The 20,016-nt window shown below is 44.1% G+C and overlaps 1 protein-coding gene across 1 annotated transcript in view, besides 2 other annotated features; it reads left to right on the forward strand.

Moving 5' to 3' along the window:
* ANKDD1A (ankyrin repeat and death domain containing 1A) overlaps positions 1-17,233 on the forward strand; it is a 46,790-nt gene extending 29,557 nt beyond the window's left edge. The window contains exons 10-15 of the mRNA NM_182703.6: positions 1,009-1,107; positions 2,026-2,124; positions 3,194-3,289; positions 5,946-6,135; positions 8,383-8,514; positions 15,645-17,233. Coding sequence (NP_874362.3) covers positions 1,009-1,107; positions 2,026-2,124; positions 3,194-3,289; positions 5,946-6,135; positions 8,383-8,514; positions 15,645-15,730 — 702 coding nt within the window. The 3' untranslated portion in view covers positions 15,731-17,233. The remainder of the gene's footprint in view (positions 1-1,008; positions 1,108-2,025; positions 2,125-3,193; positions 3,290-5,945; positions 6,136-8,382; positions 8,515-15,644) is intronic.
* Positions 5,508-6,008: an enhancer, noted in NCBI's record as "H3K4me1 hESC enhancer chr15:65239186-65239686 (GRCh37/hg19 assembly coordinates)". NCBI's record gives its function as "activates a minimal SCP1, AML or CMV promoter by ChIP-STARR-seq in naive H9 embryonic stem cells {active_cell/tissue: H9 hESC(naive)}" and the evidence as "EXISTENCE:reporter gene assay evidence [ECO:0000049][PMID:30033119]".
* Positions 6,009-6,509: an enhancer, noted in NCBI's record as "H3K4me1 hESC enhancer chr15:65239687-65240187 (GRCh37/hg19 assembly coordinates)". NCBI's record gives its function as "activates a minimal SCP1, AML or CMV promoter by ChIP-STARR-seq in naive H9 embryonic stem cells {active_cell/tissue: H9 hESC(naive)}" and the evidence as "EXISTENCE:reporter gene assay evidence [ECO:0000049][PMID:30033119]".

Genomic DNA, 20,016 nt, shown 5'->3' on the forward strand with positions numbered 1-20,016 from the left:
CACGGTAAGACAGAGCAACTGTGCTAGCTCTGTGTAACTATACAATTACATGTCTACAAATAATTTTTTGTTCAAATCTTCTTTTCTAATATTGATAACACTCCATACCCACTGGCCTAAACTAATAATGTCAATAATGGGCATTTTTGTTGTATGTGTGTGTATATTCTGTTCTGTAACCCTTTTATAGCTCAATACATGAGGATGTTTTCTACTATAAGTATTAGTTTCTAGTATCAATTTTATTGGCCTTGTACTATTCCACAGGATGTGTGTCACTATATCACCTAGAGAGGGGGGAGTATCCCCTCTTTGTCATTTACTCAGGGGGCCACAGGAGACTATTGGGGATGGTGTCTTCCACTGTTGAAGGAGAGTTGGACTTGGAGTGAGGTATCTTTTCTGGTCCCAGCTGGCTCTTTCATTCATTCATTTTTCTACACAAATAGTTATCAGGTACTAGGTACCTAGGTACTGGGGGTGGGGACGTGGTGGGAGTAGAAAGTCCAATAAGTCATCGTTCCTATTAGCTAAGTATCCTTGGGTAAGTCATTTAAGTTTTCTGAACTTCAGTGTTTCTGTTTGTAAGATGAAGATACTAATAAGAACACCATCCCTATATACTTCCTAGGTTGATGTGTGGATTAAATGAGATGTCAGAGAATCTTAAGGTATTGTTGCTAGGAGGGACCATGGCAAACATCACTTGCCAGATGAAGAGTAGCAGAGAAGGGAAATGACTTGCCCGAGGTCACATAGTGAGTTCCTGATATAGCAGGTCTCACCCTTGGGTCTTCAGACCCTCACCCATCTAGAGGATCAGTTTGGGGCTCCAGGAATTCAAGCTTTGGGACCATAATTGCCTAAGGCCACCCATGTCATCCAAGAAGCTAAAAGGGCCAAACCCAGAAGCACTATACTCTTCCCTCCTCCTGTCCCCAGCACCAGCCTGCAGCTGGGCAGTCCTGGGAGGGACTGGTCGATTGATCCGTGTATCTCCTCCCACAGCAGGGTGCCTCTCCTCTGCACCTCGCTGTGAGGCACAACTTCCCTGCCTTGGTCCGGCTCCTCATCAACTCCGACAGTGACGTGAATGCCGTGGACAATGTAAGTGGCTACAGAGACCTTCCGGGCCCCAGGGAGCTTCTGGAAACCCTCCCAGGCTGGCAGGCTTGGCTGTGGTCTCCTAGCATGGCCCAGAGTTGAGGAATCACTTTTTTTTTTTTTTTTTTAGCTTTTAGAAAGTAATCTAAATAGTTGCTGAAGGGAATATCATTTTGTTCATCATTCCCCTCTTTTGACATTTGGGTGTTCCCAAGTTTTGGCCACGGTCTATAACATTACAGTGAACATCTTTTTACATTCAACCTTTTCCTTTCATTGCTTTTTTTCCTTAGGGAACATTCCCAGGGCAGGGGTGACTGAGGCAGTCTTGTGTAACAAGAGGCCTCTGAGTCCTGAAGCTGTGATCAGTAAAGCCCTTTTAAATCCTGTCCCCACAATCTACCCACCAACCATATAATTCTCAGTACCAGCAAGGGCATGGCTCACAGAGCCACTGGGAGCTGAAAGCAATTTGGCAGAATATGTCATATACCTTTAAATGATATGTGTGAGCACTGCTGGGAACTCAGCCTTGAGAAACATATTAAAAGCTCATGCACAGAGATATTTACTGCAGTATTATTTATCAGTCTTCAATTTGAAAATGGCCTAAATATTTAATAATAGGGAAGTGGTTAGGTAAATTATGGCACAGACAAAAATAGGCTAGTATGGAGTTATCAAAAATGGCGTTTATCAGAGTTTATAGTACACAAAAAGTGTCATGTTGGGGTAAAAAAATTAAGATGTAAAATGTACATATAAGATGATCTCATGTATGTAAAACCAACAAACTGAAAACATTCTGCATTAAAGAAAAGACTAGAAGAAATATACTAGGATCATTGTGCGGGCTGACTTAGGGTAGTGGGCCACCCCTACATGCTTTTCACTTACCTATTCCCTTGGCTTCTCCCCTAGAGGCAGCAGACGCCCCTTCACCTGGCTGCAGAGCACGCCTGGCAGGACATAGCAGATATGCTCCTCATTGCTGGGGTTGACTTAAACCTGAGAGATAAGGTACCTCTGCTTACAACCCACCTCGCTTCAGGCTTTCATGGCTCCCCCCTTGCCAGAGACCCTGCTACGAATGCCCCCTCCCTCCTCCTTCTCAGGGTGTTCAAGGACTGTCATCCTTTCTATACCAGCTCAAATGCAGCCTCCTCCAGGAAGCCTTCCTGACCTTCCACCACCTTCCCCTCTCTCTACTAAGGTCCTTCAGCCTTGGCCCACCCCCCTCTGGTATAGGCCTGTGAAATGATTGCTTTCTCCTTTATGGCCCCCATCAGACTGTGACCTCCTGAGTCACCTGGTAGGGTTGGGAAGTAGACGAATACCACAGTACTGCCCAACAACCCCCATATGTGGGACAGGGTTTGGGGAAGCTTCCCAGCTCATTAGCACAGCTACGTCCACAGGTGCTAGTGGTCTCAGAAGAGCCAAAGACTTGGTATGAGGCTGGGAGGTCACAGGTGTTTGAGGGGAGGGGCACCTGCACATGTGACTCAGCGAGGCCAGCCTAGTATGGTGTGGGGTAGAGCTGGGGGGCAGGATCAGATCCTGAAGCTGGACCTGGGAGGGGGCCCCTTCTTTGAGCTAGGCCCCATGGCAGCTGGCCAGATGTGAAGGGGAGCTTCCCATCTCACTGCAGGTCTGTGGAGGTAACTGTCTGGGAGGCCTGGAGAAAAGGAGGCCTGACCAGAGGTGGGCAAAAGGCAAAAGTGACATGATAAACCCAAGCCCCCATCTCTGGGCTCTGATTTCTTCATCTGAAAAGTGGGTGGGAACCCCTATTTCACAGGAGATGTTGAAGAGTTAATGAGGGCTGAGTTTCATAAGCTCTAGAGCTTCCTAATTTCTAAAGAAACACAAGAGGTGGTCATTGGAATTATGTATTGCTATTGCTTTATTCTATTTGTGACTTTTCCATATCCCCTTCATGCCCAGAAAACCAGAAAACCTTTCTGCTCTCAGCGTAGACTGCTGGAAAGCACTTCCTGTGGGCAGGAGGGTTTGTCCTCAGTGCTAGAAACCCTTGTGTACCCCTCCTGTAGAAACTCTGGCTTCTCTTCTTGCCTCTTAATTGCAGCAGGGAAAAACCGCCCTGGCAGTGGCCGTCCGCAGCAACCATGTCAGCCTGGTGGACATGATCATAAAAGCTGATCGTTTCTACAGATGGGAGAAGGTACGGAGGCCTCACGCTTGATCTTTCCTCATTGGAAAGGGAGTGATTTTGGCTCCAGATGGAGCTGGCTTTGAACCCTAGGCCTGACCAATTCTGGGTCCCTCAGTCTCCAAGCAGGTGATAATCACCACCTTGTATGTTACCACAGTTGTTTGTGAGGATCTGGTGAAGGGCAAGTGTCCAAACAGGCTGAAACAAGGCAGACTGAGGTCCATGCCAGCGTGGAGATACTGCTGGACACTGCTGTAGCTTCCAGCTGATGAATGCATGCGTGCATGAATGCATACAGACATGTGAAAAAGAGAGGGCAGGTGGTTCCATCTTATGCCATCTCCAGGTGATTGAACTGCTGCTTGGGATGCTATGCTCAGGCAACTTTCTGAGCCAGAAGTAAGTGTGTTGCAATTCATTAGTCGTGTCTCCTGTGGACTTGGGACAGAAGAGTGGCAGAATATTTGCTATTCCAGTTAGCAAATGGAGGTAGGGAGTTTTTTGGTGTCCTTGGGGCTTGTTTTTATATACAGAAGATAATTTTGCATTTACTTCAGTTTTCAAAGTTAATACAGATGGTCCCCGATTACAATGGTTCAGCTTATGATTTTTCTACTTTATGATGGCACAAAAGTGATACACATTAAGTTGAAACCATACTTTGAGTACCTGTACAGCCATGCTGTTTTTCACTTCAATATAGTATTCACTAAATGACATGAGATATTCAGCACTTTATTATAAAACTGGCTTTGTGTTAGATGATTTGCTCCACTATAAAGTAATGTAAGTGTACTAAGCACATGTAAGGTAGGCTAAGCTAAACTATTGATGGTGTGTAGGTTAGAGGGATTAAATGCATTTTCAACATATATATATATATATATATATATGAACTTTTTTTTTTTTTTTGAGACGGAGTCTCACTCTGTCACCCAGGCTGGAGTGCAGTGGTGCGATCTCAGCTTGCCGCAACCTCTGCCTACTGGGTTCAAGCGATTCTCCTGTCTTAGCCTCCCAAGTAGCTGGGACTACAGGTGTGTGCCACCATGCCCAGCTAATTTTTTGTATTTTTAGTAGAGATGGGGTTTCACTATGTTGGCCAGGATGGTCTCAATCTTCTGACCTTGTGATCTGCCCACCTCAGCCTCCCAAAGTGCTGGGATTACAGGTGTGAGCCACCATGCCTGGCCGAATTATGATTTTTATCAAGACATAACCCCATCATAAGTTGAGGGGCATCTGTGTTGAATCTGCTAAGTTACAAATTTAAAAACCTAGTTTTTCTTAAACTTTAAAATTCATTTTATAAATCTTATTATTCTATTTATACAACTAGTAAATTTTTCCTGTCAGTTTCAAGGAAGTCTTTTGAGTAATGTTGGGTCCCATGTTTAAACTTAGTTAAACTAACTTAAACATTGAAACTGAATAAATAAACTTAATATAACAGATTTTCTTTTTAAGCACTTCAAATGCTTCTTAAATTCTTAAATTATCCTAATAAGACCATTAACTTAAACCTATAAATAATCTCAAATATCTTAAACATTCCAATGTGGTTTACAAACTTAGTAAACTTCTTATCCCTTTCAAATAAAAATCACTGTTTCAGAATCAATTGGTAGATAAATTTCAGTAGGAATCATAAGATGTTCTCCCACTGATATGCTAGATTCCCTTAAACATGACAACCCCTTTACATACAACAGATTATTCCTAAATATAATCCCAAAATGTTAATACTGAGGGTTGGACTAGCCGATTCATCTCTGTGCTGAGTACTAAGCCACTTCAGGCTTTACAGGTCCTCACCACTAAGGCAGTGGCTGCATGTCAGAATCACAAATCTCCCCTGGACCCCTAGGCCAATTCAGGTAGAATCTCTGAGGTAGGGGCCAGACATCAGTGGTTCTTAAAGTTCCCAGATGGTCTCAATGTGCAGATGGGGCTGAAAACACTGCCCCAGGGGACCAGTTTTTAATACCCCAGGTGAGAACCAAGCTTCACCTCACAGTGATTGCCAGAGACTGTTGACCATGACATAAGCTTTGGAACTGCAGACACCAGGATGATTTTTTTCACCCTGAACTTAACAACCAGAACTCTGCATCCATTCCCTTTAGAGGGCCTTAGGCTTCTGTGGGCATCATTTATGCTATGACAGAATTCTTTAGTAACCTCTAATTTCATTGCCTGCTTTGCTAGAAAGGATTTTGTAATCCCACCCTTTACTACCCCTTGTGATTCAGCAAATCCGATTCTTGCCCTGCCTGGTTTTGGCCAAAGCTTCGGAGTACTTCTGCTGACACCCATGCTATAAGAACACAGGAAAGAGAGGCAGGTGACCGGAGGAATCTGGAAAGGCTCCCTGGAAGTAGCACATGGGTAGTCTTTTGACTATGACAATGAGGTTGAGGGGCAGGAAGGTGAGCAGAGGAATTCCGGGTGGAAGAACAGTGGGAGCAACTTGGGTTCCAGAGGTCAAGGCAAGGCATGGAGTGAGAAACCAGAAGAGAGGACATTAAGCCCCTGGCCCTTGCTGACTCCAGCTCCCAGGCACCCCAGCAGAGGTGGTAGGAGGGTCATAGGGGCCTCGGCTCGGCACTGCCCCTGTCTGGGATCATGAGGGAGAGCTTCTGCACTTTTGGGATCTGCCCCACAGGACCACCCCAGTGATCCCTCTGGGAAGAGCTTGTCCTTTAAGCAGGACCATCGGCAGGAAACACAGCAGCTCCGTTCTGTGCTGTGGCGGCTGGCCTCCAGGTATCTGCAGCCCCGTGAGTGGAAGAAGCTGGCATATTCCTGGGAGTTCACGGAGGCACATGTCGACGCCATCGAGCAACAGTGGACAGGTACCACCTTGCCTCTCCTCGCCCTAAGCAACCATTGGGCGGAGGGGTGGGACACCTGAAATGTGTTCAGTTTTCTGTGCTTCTGGTGAAAGGGCCTGTGCAACCCACAGCCTGGTCCCACACTGTCCAACACACCTGGTGCTCTGTCCCTCCTCCAGGCCTCTGCACAGGGTGCACACTCTGCCTCTCCCCATTGATTGTGAATTTCACATTCTTCACCAATCAGCCCAAACTGATACCCACTGTTTATACCTAAACTAAAACCATTCTTGGTAAAAAGAAGAGGGCCTGCTGTTGTCACTATTATTCAACATCTATATGGAAATTTTGGCCCTGGTACTAAGGTGTGAAAAGGAAATAGAAATAAGGAGTGTAAATATTGTAAAGGAAGAGAGAGACTTATTGATTTCAGATGGAATACTTAATATACATAGGACGTCCAGAGGAATCAACTAAAAAAATCTTAGAATTAATCAAATAATTCAAGGAAATGGCTAAATATAGAAAATATACTAACACCACAGAACTCCTATGAACCATGGCTAAATGGGCAAAAAATATAGAGAGAGAATCTTTTAAAAGAGATTCCATTTACAATGGTGTGTGTGTTTCATCTGGAAAACCTAAAAGACAAATACAGATGACACATATGAATAAAACAATAATGGTTCAACTATAAAAGACTTGTGTAAATGGAATGACATTCTGTATTTGTGGCAAGAAAAAGTATCATATAAATATCAGTTTTTCTCCAATTAGATTAAAACTTTGATCTAATTTTAATCAAAATAGGTTTTTGAAACTTGACTGAAGTATTCTACAATTTGTCTGGAAGAATAAACAGGGATATAAAAGTGAACATTCTGGGGGAAAACAATAAAGGGGATCTAACCCAAGCAGACTCAGCCTTTTATAAAGCCAAAATAAAATTAACATAAAGAGATATCTGGATCAGGCATAGTGGCTCCCACCTGTAATCTCAGCACTTTGGGAGGCCAAGGTGGGCAGATCACCTGAGGTTAGGAGTTTGAGACCAGCCTGGCCAACATGGTGAATCCCCCGTCTCTACTAAAAATACAAAAATTAGCTGGGCATGATGGTCGGGTCCTGTAATCCCAGCTGCTCGACAGGCTGAGGTTTAAGAATCGCTTGAACCCGGGACACAGAGTTTGCAGTGAGCCGAGATCCCACCACTACACTCCAGCCTGGGGGACAGAGTGAGACTCTGTCTCCCAAAGGAAAAAAAAAAGATTCCTGACACAAAAATATGCAAATTGACATTTGCATATCAATTTGGGATAGAGCAGAGTTCAAAAGTAAACGCTGCTACGGATAAGAACTTTCATATATGATAAAGAAGCACTTGTACATTACAGTGGCGGGGGCAGAGATAGTTAATAAATGGTGTTGAGACTGCTGGGTCAAGCGGAAGTGCCACCACACCAAGGGCAGTACCGTGAGGACATGCCTGCTGAGGGCCCCAAGAGGGGCACGGAAGGTCAGAGGGGCGAATGGAGTGACCTGGACCTGATGGGCGTGGCCCAGCATCTGTCTGTTTCCACAGCACTGGAGAGCCAGCTGAATCACAGCCAGCTGAATAACATGTTAACCCCATGCCGTGTGGGCAATTATTTTCCAAACATGGTTGTATGTTGGAACCACCTGGGAAATTTTGAAACCGTTAAATGCCTAGGCTGCACCCAGTCCCAGGTACATGAGAATCTCTGGGGGTGACATGGGCCCTAGGTGTTTCCAAGGAGCAGCTGAGTCTGAGAACCACTGGTGCAGGGGAAAGCATGGCCAGCTCCATCTCTGACTAAGCTGTATTCTCATCTGTAAATTAGGACCACTATCATGCAAGACACAGATTATTTTGAGCAGCCAGAGAGGTGAAGTATACAATTTGTGCATCATGGTACCACAACGATGAAAGTCAATTCTTTCTCCATTCAGAGTGACACCAACAGAGTGCATAGTGGGTGTTCAGGAGAAGGCCTGGGGCTGGGGAGGTTCTAGAGACCAAGACACAAACCCTTCCCTCCCCATCTGAGAGGCTGCTCCTCCACTCCCCTTACCTATCTCCAGGCTGAGCTTGGCTGGAGCATGGAGAAGGGCCTTGGAGGCTTTTGGCCTCTTTCCCACCTGGGCATGTTCAGGAGGCGGTGCAGGGTGGCATAGACAGGCGCTCTGGTCAAGTGGCCCCATTGGCTCCTTCTCCCTCTCTCTCTCCTCCCTCACTGTTCTCAGGCACCAGGAGCTATCAGGAGCACGGCCACCGAATGCTGCTCATTTGGCTGCATGGCGTGGCCACGGCTGGTGAGAACCCCAGCAAAGCGCTGTTCGAGGGCCTCGTGGCCATTGGCAGGAGGGACCTGGCTGGTAAGAGCGTACTCTGCTGGGCTGCTTCTCAGGAGCTGGGTGGCCCCCACTGGAATGCAGCAGGGCCCTCCAAGGGCTGCTCAGACAAGAATGCTGTGATGCTGGCTCTAGGCCTTCCAGATTCCTACCCCTAGCCCTGCCCTCTTTTCCCTTGGGCAAACTACAGTGCCTCCTGGCCCTGGTTTCCCCATCTGTGCAATGAGGGTGTTGGCCCAAACTGAACCCTGTGACCTTCACAGCCCCGGAGCCAGTGATGCTGTCCATAATCTCTTCCTTACCAGCCCTCTATACCTTGACATTTTTTTTCCATTTTGGAATAAGCCTGGAACCACCTCCAGACTTTTTTCACAAACATTAAGACATAGGAGCCAAAACTGACTTAATATGAGTTGAACCAGTCAAATCTGGTCAAATAAACCTTCTGAGGTCATCACAACTTATTTGAGTATGCCAATCTCAAAAGCCTGATATGGGATTCAGTGTTCTGTGGAATCATCAGACAAGCAGGATAGAAGGTTCTAGTACTAATCCCTCATTAAAAACAAAATCAGCTCATGATGAAAAAGCCTTAAACGCTGTGATACCCACTGACGTGGTACATAATGGGGCAACCACAGAATGGGGCACTAGGCAGCCACTGATAGTTGTGAAGTCTCCATTAGATATGAGGCAACAAAGAAAACCACTCCTGACATATTTCTAGTATATTGCTGAGGGAAATGTTTCTAGCATATTATTGAGGGAAAAGAAAGGACCGCCCCCCCCCCCCCCCCCCCCCATAGCTGCTATAGGCAAGGTGGAAAAGCTAAGACTCATTTCAGGGTAGAGAGATTAGGGACGCTACCTTTCTTTCCCCAAAATGTTCTTAAATATAGTTGTTACATCTTTTAACACAAACTGTGGCATGCAATTAAAACATAAAACCAGTCCTGTGAGGCAGAGCTTAGGCAACAGAGGAAGTAAGATTCTTGTTTTTAACAGAAAATATCAGGAAGAAAGCAAACGCAGCCCCGAGTGCCCCCAGGAGGTGCACAGCCATGTAACCGGAGGGGCCAGACCTTCAGGCACGTGGGACCTCAGCGTGTGGAGCCACCTGAACAGAAGATGACCATCATTTAAGGGCTTTTTAAAAAATCACTGTTAACAGACCTCCAGGTGATTCTACTGAAATGCACAGTCATGCAGAGCCCAGGAGGCAAATGTTTGTACACTGATCTTTTTCATGAGGATGGGTCCAAGGGCCTGTAATCCCGTCCAACAGGTATGGTCCTTTTGAGCTCTTGGCACACTTTGTTTATTTCTTCTTCTTTTTCTTTTCTTCTTCTTCTTCTTCTCTTCTTCTTCTTTCTTCTTTCCTCTTTTTCTTTCTTCTTTCCTCTTCTTTCTTCTTCCTCTTTCTTCTTTCTTTTTCTTTTCTTCTTCCTCTTTTTTCTTTTTTCTTTTCTTCCTCTTTTCTTCTTTTTCTTTCTTCTTCCCTTTCTTTTCTTTTCTCTTTTTTCTTTTCTTCTTCCTCTTCTTTTCTTCTTCTTCCTCTTCCTTCTTCCTGTTTTCTTCTTCCTCTTCCCTCTTCTTTCTTCTCTTCTTTCTTTTTCTTTTCTTTCTTCTTCTTCTTCCTTTTCTTTCTTCTTTCTTCTTGTTCCTTATTCTTCTTCTCTTCTTTTCTTCTTCTATCTTCTTTCCTTCTATCTTCTTTTTCTTTCTTTCCTTCTTTCTTCTTCCTCTTCTTCTTCCTTATTTTCTTTTTCTTCCCTTTTCTTCTTTCCTCCTTCTTCCTCTTCTTCCTTCTTTCCTTTTCTTCTTCTTTCCTTTCTTCTTCCTTCTTTCTTTCCTCTTTTCTTCTTTCTTCCTCTTCTTCATCCTTCTTATTCTTTCTTCTTCTTTCTTCTTCCTCTTCTTTTTCTTTCTTCTTTCCTTCTTTCTTTTTCTTTTCTCTTCGTCCTCTTGTTCTTTCCTCTTCTTCCTTTCTTTTCTTCTTCTTCTTTCCTTCTGCTCTTCTTTCTTCTTCCTTCTTATTCTTCTTTCTTTTCTTTCTTCTTCCATCTTCTATCTTCTTTTTCTTCTTCTTTCCTCTTCTTTCTTCTTCTTAGTTCTTCCTTTCTTCTTCTTCCTTCTTTTCTTCCTCTTCTTCCTTCTTTTCTTCTTCTTTCTTCTCTTTCTTCTTCTTCCTTATTCTTCTTCCTCTTTCTTCATCTTTTTCTTTCTTCTTTCCTTCTACTTTTTCTTCTTCTTCTTTCCTCTTTCTTCTTCTTCCTTCTCCTCCTTTCTTCTTCTTATTCTTCTCCTTCTTCCTTCTCCTTCTTTTTCTTCTTCCTTCTCCTTCCTCTCCTCCTCCTTCGTTCTTTTTCTTTCTTCCTTCTTCCTTCTCCTTCTTCTTAGTTCTTCCTCCTTCTTCTTTCTTCTTCCTCTTTCCTTCTTTTCTTCTTCCTCCTTCTTCTTCTTCTCCTTCTTAGTTTTCTTCTCCTCCTCCTTTCTTCTTCTTAGTTCTTCTCCTTCTTCCTTCTCCTTCTTCTTCCTTCGTCACCGTCTTCTCCTTCTTCTTACTTTCTTCTTCCTTCGTCTTCTTCTCCTTCTCCTCCTCCTTCCTTCTCCTTCGTTCTTCTTCTCCTTCTTTTCTTCTTCTTCCTTCGTCTTCTTCTTCCTCCTCTCCTTCTTCGTCTTTTCTTTCTTCTTCTCCTTCTCCTTCTTCTTCCCCTTCTTCCTTCTTCTTCTTCCTCTCCTTTTTCTTCTTAGTTCTTCTCCTTTCTTCTTTCTTCTTCTCCTTCTTCCTCCTTCTTTCCTCTTCTCCTCCTCCTCCTTTCTTTTCTTCTTCCTTCTCCTTCTTCTTTTCTTCTCCTTCTCCTCCTTCTTCCTCCTCCTTCTTCCTTTCTTCTCCTTGTCTCTTCTCCTTCTTCTTTTCTTCTCTTTCTTCTTCTCCTTCTTCCTTCTCCTTCCTTCTCTTCTTCTCCTTCTTCTTAGTTCTTCTTCCTCTTCTTCCTTCTCTTTCTTCCTCTTCTTCTTTTCTTCTTGTCTCTCCTTCTTCTCCTTCTTAGTTCTTTCTTCTCCTTGTTCTTCTCCTCCTTCTTCCTTTCTTCTTTCCTCTCTTTTTTCTTCCTCTTTCCTTCTTTCTTCTTCTTCCTTCTTATACTTTCTTTTCTTTCTTCCGCTTTCTACTTTCTTCTTCCTTTTTTCTTCCTTTTTCTCCTTTCTTCTTTCCTTCTTTTCTTCTTTTTCTTCTTCCTCTTCTTATTCTTTCTTCTCCTTCTTTCTTGTTCCTTATTCTTCTTTCTTCTTTCCTCCTCTTTCTTCTTCTTAGTTCTTCCTCTTCTTTCCTTCTTCCTTCTTTCTTCTTCTTTTACTTTTTTCTTTCTTCTTTCCTTCTTATTCTTCCTCTCCTTCTTCTTAGTTCTTCTTTCTTCTCCTTCTTTTCCTTTCTTCTTCTTAGTTCTCCTTTTCTTCTCCTCCTCCTCCCTTCTTCTTCCTCCTCCTTCCTTTTCTTCTTTCTTCTCTCCTTCTTCTTCTTCCTCTTCCTTCTCCTTCTTCTTTAGTTCTTCCTCCTCTTCCTTCTCCTTCTTCCTTCTTCTCCTCTCCTTCTTCCTTCTCCTTCTTTCTTCCTCCTTCTTCTTAGTTCTTCTTCTTCCTTCTCCTTTTCTTCTTTCTTCTCTCCTTCTTCTTCTTCTTCCTTCTTCTTCCTCTTCCTTCTCCTTCTTTTCTTTCTTCTCCTTCTTTTCTTCTCCTTCTCCCTTCTTCTTTCTTCTTCTCCTTGTTCTTCTCCTTCTTCTCCTCCTTCTTCTTTCCTCTTTTCTTCGTTCTTCTTCCTCTTCCCTCTTTTCTTTCTTCTGCTTTCTTCTTCCTTTTTTTCTTCTTCCTTATTCTTTTCTTCTTTCCTCTTCTTTTCTTCTTTCCTCTTCTTCCTCTTTCTTCTTCATTCTTTCTTCTTCCTCTTTTCTTTCTTCCCTCTTCTTTCTTCTCTTTTTCTTTTTTCTTTTCTTCCTCTTCTTCTATTGTTTCTTTTTTTCTTCTTTCTTCCTCTATCTTCTTCCTTTCTTTCCTTTCTTCTTCCTTCTTTCCTCTTCTTTTCTTTCTTCTTCCTCTTCTTCTTTTCTCCTTCTTCTTTCTTCTTCCTCTTTTCTTCTTCTTTCTCCTCCCTCTTTTCTTCTTCCTTTCTTTTCTCCTTTCTTCTTCCTCTTTCTTCTTGTTCCTTATTATTCTTTCTTCTTTCTTTTCTTCTTCTTCTCCTTCTTTCTTGTTCCTTATTCTTTTCTTCTTCTTCTTCTTCCTCTCCTTCGTCTTCTTAGTTCTTTCTTCTTCTCCTTCTTTTCCTTTCTTCTTCCTTCTTAGTTCTCCTTTTCTTCTCCTTCTCTTCCTTCTTAGTTCTTCCTTCTTCTTCCTCCTCTCCTTCTTCTCTTCTTCTCCTTCTTCTTCCTTTTCTTTTCTTCTTCTTTCTTCTTCCTTCCTCTTCTTCCTCCTCTCCTCCTTCGTTCGTCGTCTTCTCCTTCTTCTTCTTCCCTCTTCTCCTTCTTCCTCTTTTTCTTCTTCCTTCTCCTTCTTCTTCCTTCTTCTCCTCTTTCTTCTCCTTCTTCCTCCTTCTCCTTCTTCTTTTCTTCTTCCTTCTCCTTGTTCTCCTTCTTCCTTATTCTTCCTTCTTCTCCTTCTTCCTCCTCCTTCCTCTTTTCTTCTTCCTTTTCTTCTTCCTTCTTCTTCTCCTTCTTTCTTCTTGTCTCTTCTTCTTCTCTCCTTCTCCTTGTTCTTCTCCTTCTTCTTCTCCTTCTCCTCCTCCTTCTTCTTCCTTCTCCTTCTTCTTTCTTTTTGTTCTTCTTTCTTCTTCTCCTTCTTCCTTCTCCTTAGTTGTTCTTCTTCCTTGTTCTTCTCCTTCTTTTTGTTGTTCTTTCTTCTTCCTTCTTCTTCTTTCTTCTCCTTTTCTTCTTCCTTCTCCTCCTCCTTCTTCCTTCTTCTCTTGTCTCTTCTCTCTCCTTCTTCTCCTTCTTCTTGTCTCTTCTTCTCTCTCCTTCTTCTTCTCCTTGTTCTTCTCCTGCTTCTCCTCTTCCTCTTTCCTTCTTCTTCCACTTCTTCTTCTTCCTCTTCTTCTTCTTTCTTTCTTTCTTCTTCTTTTCTCTTTTTTTTGATATGGAGTCTTACTCTGTTGCCAGGCTGGAGTGCAGTGGCGCAATCTTGGCTCACTGCAACCTCCACCTCCCAGGTTCACGCCATTCTCCTGCCTCAGCCTCCTGAGTAGCTGGGACTACAGGTGCCTGCCACCACACCCAGCTAATGTTTTGTATTTTCAGTAGAGACGGGGTTTCACTGTGTTAGCCAGGATGGTCTTGATCTCCTGACCTCGTGATCTTCCCCAGGGATGGGGTGTTCCATCTTCTGCCCTGTCCGGCAGAGTAGCTGCTTGCCACCTGAGGCTGTCATGCACCTGAAATGTTGGCTAGAGGGACTGAGAAGCTGAAATTTCTTATTTCTCATTATTTGAAATTGCAGGCACCCATAGCAAGTGGCATCCATGGTGCTTGGCTTTGAGGTGCCAGGCAAGCACAGCTTGTTCTGGGGCTTGGCTGTACCAGCAGGGGGATGTGTTTCTGGGGAATTGTGGCTCTGGAAGCTTCACGGTTTCCCAGAATGTGGAAAATATATCTGTGCAGGATAGAAATCCTGCCCAGAGGCTGTTTCTGTCTCATTTGAGCTCTCCTTCATGTGGCAGAGCTGGCTGTGGCGTTTAGGAGCCTACATTTTAGAAAAGCTTACCTCAAAGTTCTGCATTGAGCCTGAGACTGGAAAGGAGATAAAATAAAACAGCTGACAGGAGCTTTGGTAGTCACACATGCCTGATGGGGTGCACAGGGCCACAGTCTCTGAAAGGCAATTTGGCATTGTCTGTCCACAATATACTTTTATCCATTGGTCCAGCAATCCTACTCTAGGAATTTTTCCTACATATAAACCTGTATGCATACAAAATGATAGACATACAAGGTTATTACTCTGAAAAAGCAAAAGATTGGAAACAAACCAAGTGACTGGCTACAGGGGACTGGTGAAATAGAGTATGTTCCATCCACACAGTGGAATTCTGTTCAGCAGTGAAAAAAGGATGAGAGTGCTTTCCAAGTGTTGTTATGGAAAGAGCTCCAGGATAAATTAAGTGGAAAAAAACCCCAAGATACAGGTACATTAAACCGAAGGAAATTGGTTCAGAGGATAGCTGCACCATTTTTAGAGAAAAAGCTTCCTTTCTCTCTTCACCTTTTGCAGGTGATGTATTTTTTTCTTTGGATTCCTTTTTTTTTTCTTTTTTTTTGAAACAGTTTAGCTTGGCCGGGCGCAGTGGCTCATGCCTGTAATCCCAGCACTTTGGGAGGGCAAGGCGGGCAGATCACGAGGTCAGGAGATCGAGACCATCCTGGCTAACACAGTGAAACCCTGTCTCTACTAAAAATACAAAAAATTAGCCAGGCATGGTGGCGGGCACCTGTAGTCAGTCGCAGCTACCTGGGAGGCTGAGGTAGGAGAATGGCATGAACCCGGGAGACAGAGCTTGCAGTGAGCCGAGACTGTGCCACTGCACTCCAGCCTGGGCGACAGAGCAAGACTCTGTCTCAAAACAAACAAACAAAAAAAGAGACAGAGTTTCACGCTTGTTGCCCTGTCTGGAATGCAGTGGTGTGATCTTGGCTCACTGCAACCTCCGTCTCTTGGGTTCAAGCAATTCTCCTGCCTCAGTCTCCGGAGTAGCTGGGATTACAAGCACACACCATCATGCCCGGCTAATTTTTGTATTTTTAGTAGACAGGTTTCACCATGTTGGTGAGGCTGGTCTTGAACTCCTGACCTAAGGTGACCCATCCACCTCAGCCTCCCAAAGTGCTGGGACTACAGGCATGAGCCACGGAGCCCAGCCATTTTTGGATTCTTAAAACTTAAGAAAAATTCTAAAACATATTTGTGATCTATTACGTTATGATATATGATAGGGAAAAAATAGACAACTTTACCTACCACTAAGTTATATTTAATCAGCATTCTTTTGTTTCCTAACATATATGTTGCGAGCTAAATGTATGCTCTTACTCTAAATCTTTCTGAGCTACACTTTAAGGGTGATAATTGTTTTGTTTTGTTTTTTGAGACAGTCTTGCTCTCTCACCCAGGCTGGAGTACAATGGCGAGATCTCAGCTCACGGCAACCTCCGCCTCCCGGGTTCAAATGATTCTTGTGCCTCAGCCTCCCGAGTAGCTGGGATTACAGGTGCATGCCATCACAGCTGGCTAATTTTTGTATTTTTAGTAGAGATGGGGTTTGGCCATGATGGCCAGGCTGGAAAATTGAAACATAATTTCACAATTATTCCTTTTTCCACCTTAAATAATAAGAGTAGAATACTTTCTGTGTTTTTATCTTATACACATGAATAAATGCTATGGCTTATCACAGTTACAATGTGTTTTCTGAAAGTAAAGATTATTTTACCTTGAAATTACAAAAATTATTTTCAGTTTTCCAAAATTCTATCTTTAAACCTAAATAATTCAATTTCATGGATGCACAAATGTTTATTGAGAGTCTCATATTCATGCTTTTCTTCACAGCACTATAAAGTTGGACTTGGAAAATTTGGACAGCCATTTGCCATTGTAATTTTTATTCTTTTTTCTCCTGATTATTTGACAAAACTTGTATCCACATTGTAGCTGTTCATGTGTCTGCTTCTATTGCATATTGTAAAATTATTAACTACTTCCCAAAATAGTATTTCTCTCAGCAGATATTTCTTTGGTACTACCATGTATTGTGTAACTTTTGGGAAAGTAAGGTGGCTTCCCTGCTCTCAGTGAAGCATTTTATTAAAAGAATAATTATAATTAAAAAAACACGATACAGATCAGTGCATATAGTATATTACTAATAGTATGCTGTTAATTGTGTAAGAAAGAAAGGAAATTAGAAAACATATTTGCATAAATAAAAGCTAGACAAAGGCTAAGAAACTAATCAGGTGGTTTCCCTGGGGTAGTAGGATAATGGGGAACAGTGGGGCTGGGACCGGGTGGGAGAAAGAGTTCTCAGTGGTTCCTTTCTATACAGTTTTAACTTTTGAAATGTGTGAGAGTGTTACTTACTGAAAACTGAAAGGATATGACATGCTGGAACAGGCAAAACTACAAAGACAGTAAAAAGATCAGTGATTTCCAGGAGCTGCAAGGGCAGTGAGAGGAAGGGAGGGATGAGGAGGTGGAGCGCAGGGGATGTTAGGGCAGTGAAAGGTTCTGTATGACACTGTGATGGTGGGTACATGACATTGGGCATTGGTCAAAACCCATAGCATGTACAGCACAAAGCGTTTGCTCTAATGTGAGCTATGGACTTTAGTTAATAGTAACGTGTCAATATTGGTTCATCAGTTGTATCAAATGTACCACACTGATGCCAGATGTTAATAATCGGGGAAACTGTGTGTGCTGAAGAGTACGTGGGAGCTCTCTGTGCTATCTGCTCAATTTTTCTCTAAACCTAAAACTGTTCTAAAATAGAAAGTCTGTGAAAAAAAACAAAAGTAAAGTTATAAAAGGAAAAGAAAACAGAGGCTTTAAATTAAATCATCTATTCCTTGGGAAAGGTATTTTGTACCATATGGGACTGAAATCATTTATCTGGATGAATTTTATAAAATGAATTTTGTAATTTTTTTCTGAGAAAAAAAAGTTCTTAAATACAATAAAATTGAAATGTTGAAATATATCTCTCAAATCCAGTACTCATATCTTTTCTTTGGGAAATACAGGGTGAAATTCCAGGTCAGACAAGCTGTCACAGATTGGTGCTATGTAAGCACAATGGCTCAACTCACGGACAGTGAATACTTCCTGAGTGGATTTTGTGCCAGGTGGCCTGCCAGGAGTGGGTACAGAGATGAGAGCCCACAGTTCCCTCCCCTTCCCCAAGCTTAGGGTCTAGTAGGGGAGAAAGGCTTGCACACCAATAACTGTAATAAGGTGCAGTCCACGCTGTAATGGATGGGTGCAAACAACTATGGGACTCCTTCCTGGGGGAAGGAAGAAAGGAAGGGGAGGAAGCAGCTCACAGAGGAGACAGAAGTGGGGAAAAGGGCAGTCCAAGCCAACAGCACAGCCTAAGCAATAGCCCAGAGGTGTGGAGAGGGACCCCCCACCTTGGGGAGTAGCGTGGCTGGAGCACAGGATGCGTGGAAGGAGGGGGAGCTGTGACCTGAGGGGCAGGAGGGGGAGGGGTGCAGATGCATTGGAAATTGTTCCCCACCCCATCACCAAAAATTAGATGTCTCATAAAGTAGAAACTGAACAGAATAGACTCCGCCTTTGGAAATGCACATCTGCTTGTCCTTTCAGAGTCTACTTTACCTTGCTAATTGTGACTCTCCTTGTTTCTAAAATGTATATTTAAATCACTTTTCCAATGGATATTTACTTACAGTTACTCCCTCCCTTTTCTTTGAGACGGAGTCTTCCTCTGTTGCCAGGCTGGCGTGCAGTGGTGCGATCTCGGCTTACTGCAGCCTCCGACTCCCTGGTTCAAGCGATTCTCCTCTTCAGCCTCCCAAGTAGATGGAATTACAGGCACATGCCACCACGCCCAGCTAATTTTTTTTTGTATTTTTAGTAGCGATGGGGTTTCAACATGTTGGCCAGGATGGTCTTGATCTCCTGACCTCGTGATCTGCCTGGGTTGGCCTTCCAAAGTGCTGGGATTGCAGGCGTGAGCCACTGTGCCTGGCCCCTTTTTAAGATATATACTGTACTTAAAACTATTCACATATAGTCTGCAGGTTTATATACTTAAAAAGTGCGAAGTCTTTCTCCTGTGGATCCCAAGATAACTTCTAGAAGCGGGTACAGGCCCTGGATCACATCATGTATCAAAATGAACCCATAAAACTCCCAGGTTAAGAACTGAGGTGAAGGAGTCCCTGGCTCTTAGTGGAGGTTGCTCCCCGCATCTCTTCCTGTGTGCAGAGCTTCACTAAATGGTTACAGCCCCACTTCAGAGTTTCTGAAACTAGTCTGATTTCCACAACAGAGGTCCCTTAGTGTTCATGCACTGGCAAGTGACAAGATCAGACCTGTGTGTGGACCACACAGAGGATGGGTGGGGGTGGGAGGAGATGGCTGGTGGAGCCAGTGAGGACTGTAGTAGTCTGGGCAAAAGATGCCAAGGCCTAACTTGTAGTGAGGAAGGCTCAAGTTTGCAGGCAAGTTGCTAGATCTCTGAGAGTCAGGGGATATAGGTGTAGTAGATGTGGAAATGCATTGCCCGGACCCCCTTCTTCCAGGAAGGCCTTTCCATCCAGCTGCAGGAGTGAGCTGGGCAGATGGCCTCCAGCTGTCAGCCCTTCAGGGTCTGCCTCAGCTGCAGAGAGTTGCCCCACCCAACACCCTGCCCTCCCCAGGGCAGCTGCCTCTGGGAACTGAGCTACGCGGGAGCATAGAGACCCAGCCATTTTAGTCCTCCATGAAAATATTCCAGTGGGTGCTTCAAGCTCCTGCGTGCCCTACTGAGTTGGTGGGTACTTGATCGGGCCTGCATCACAGTTCAATTTCGCTCTCTGCCCAATCCATCTTCCCTTCACAGATGTTGTTTTTTTGTTTTGTTTTGGAGATTGAGTCTCACTCTGTTGCTCAGGCTGGAGTGCAGTGACACCATCTCAGCTCACCGTAACCTCTGCCACTCTGGTTCAAGTGATTGTCCTGCTTCAGCCTCCTGAGTAGCTGGGATTACAGGCACGTGCCGCCAGGTCTGGCTAATTTTTTTGTATTTTTAGTAGAGACTGGGTTTCTCCATGTTGGCCTGGCTGGTCTTGAACTCCTGACCTCAGGTGATCCACTCCCCTTGGCCTCCCAAAGTACTGGGATTACAGGTGTGAGCCACCACACCAGGCCACAGATGTTGATCCTTAATAAACATCTTGCACCCAAATTTTCATCTCTGCATCCGCTTCAGCCTGAGACATGGGGGTGGAGGAGTGAGTGGGGGTGGAGGGTCCAAGATGGCTGAGTTTCTAACTGGGGATTCCAAGAAATAGTGATGCCAGGACCTAAGAAAATGGGGCTAGAAGAGGAAGGGCAGGTTTGGGCAGTGGGGCCATGGGCATAGCTTTTGACTGGTTGCCTGTCGAAGGCTGAGATGCCTGTTGAAGGCTGGCCTAATAGGCCTGAGTACGCATTCAAGGCCAGTACTCAAAATTGATCAGGGCTGGCAATGACAACTTGCAGTCATCAGGGGGCAGAGCTGGGGAGTAGTTAAAGTTGTTAGACGGCTCTAGTAGCCTCAGACGCTACTAGTTAAAATGTCAAGCTTCGCCCTTATGGTTTACCAAGTGTTTCCATAACTCATGACTGTTGTCAAGCCACAGATAGAGAAGACAATGTGGCCCCTTTGTGGAAAGATCACTGGCTTTAGGGATGGTCAGATTCAAGGTGGCATCCCAGCTCCACCCCTTACTGCCTGACCCAGTCTCCAGGTCCTCACCTGTAAAGTCAGGATAATCA

This window comes from Homo sapiens, chromosome 15 (genome assembly GCF_000001405.40).
Source record: "Homo sapiens chromosome 15, GRCh38.p14 Primary Assembly".
NCBI classification, from domain to species: Eukaryota; Metazoa; Chordata; class Mammalia; order Primates; family Hominidae; genus Homo; species Homo sapiens.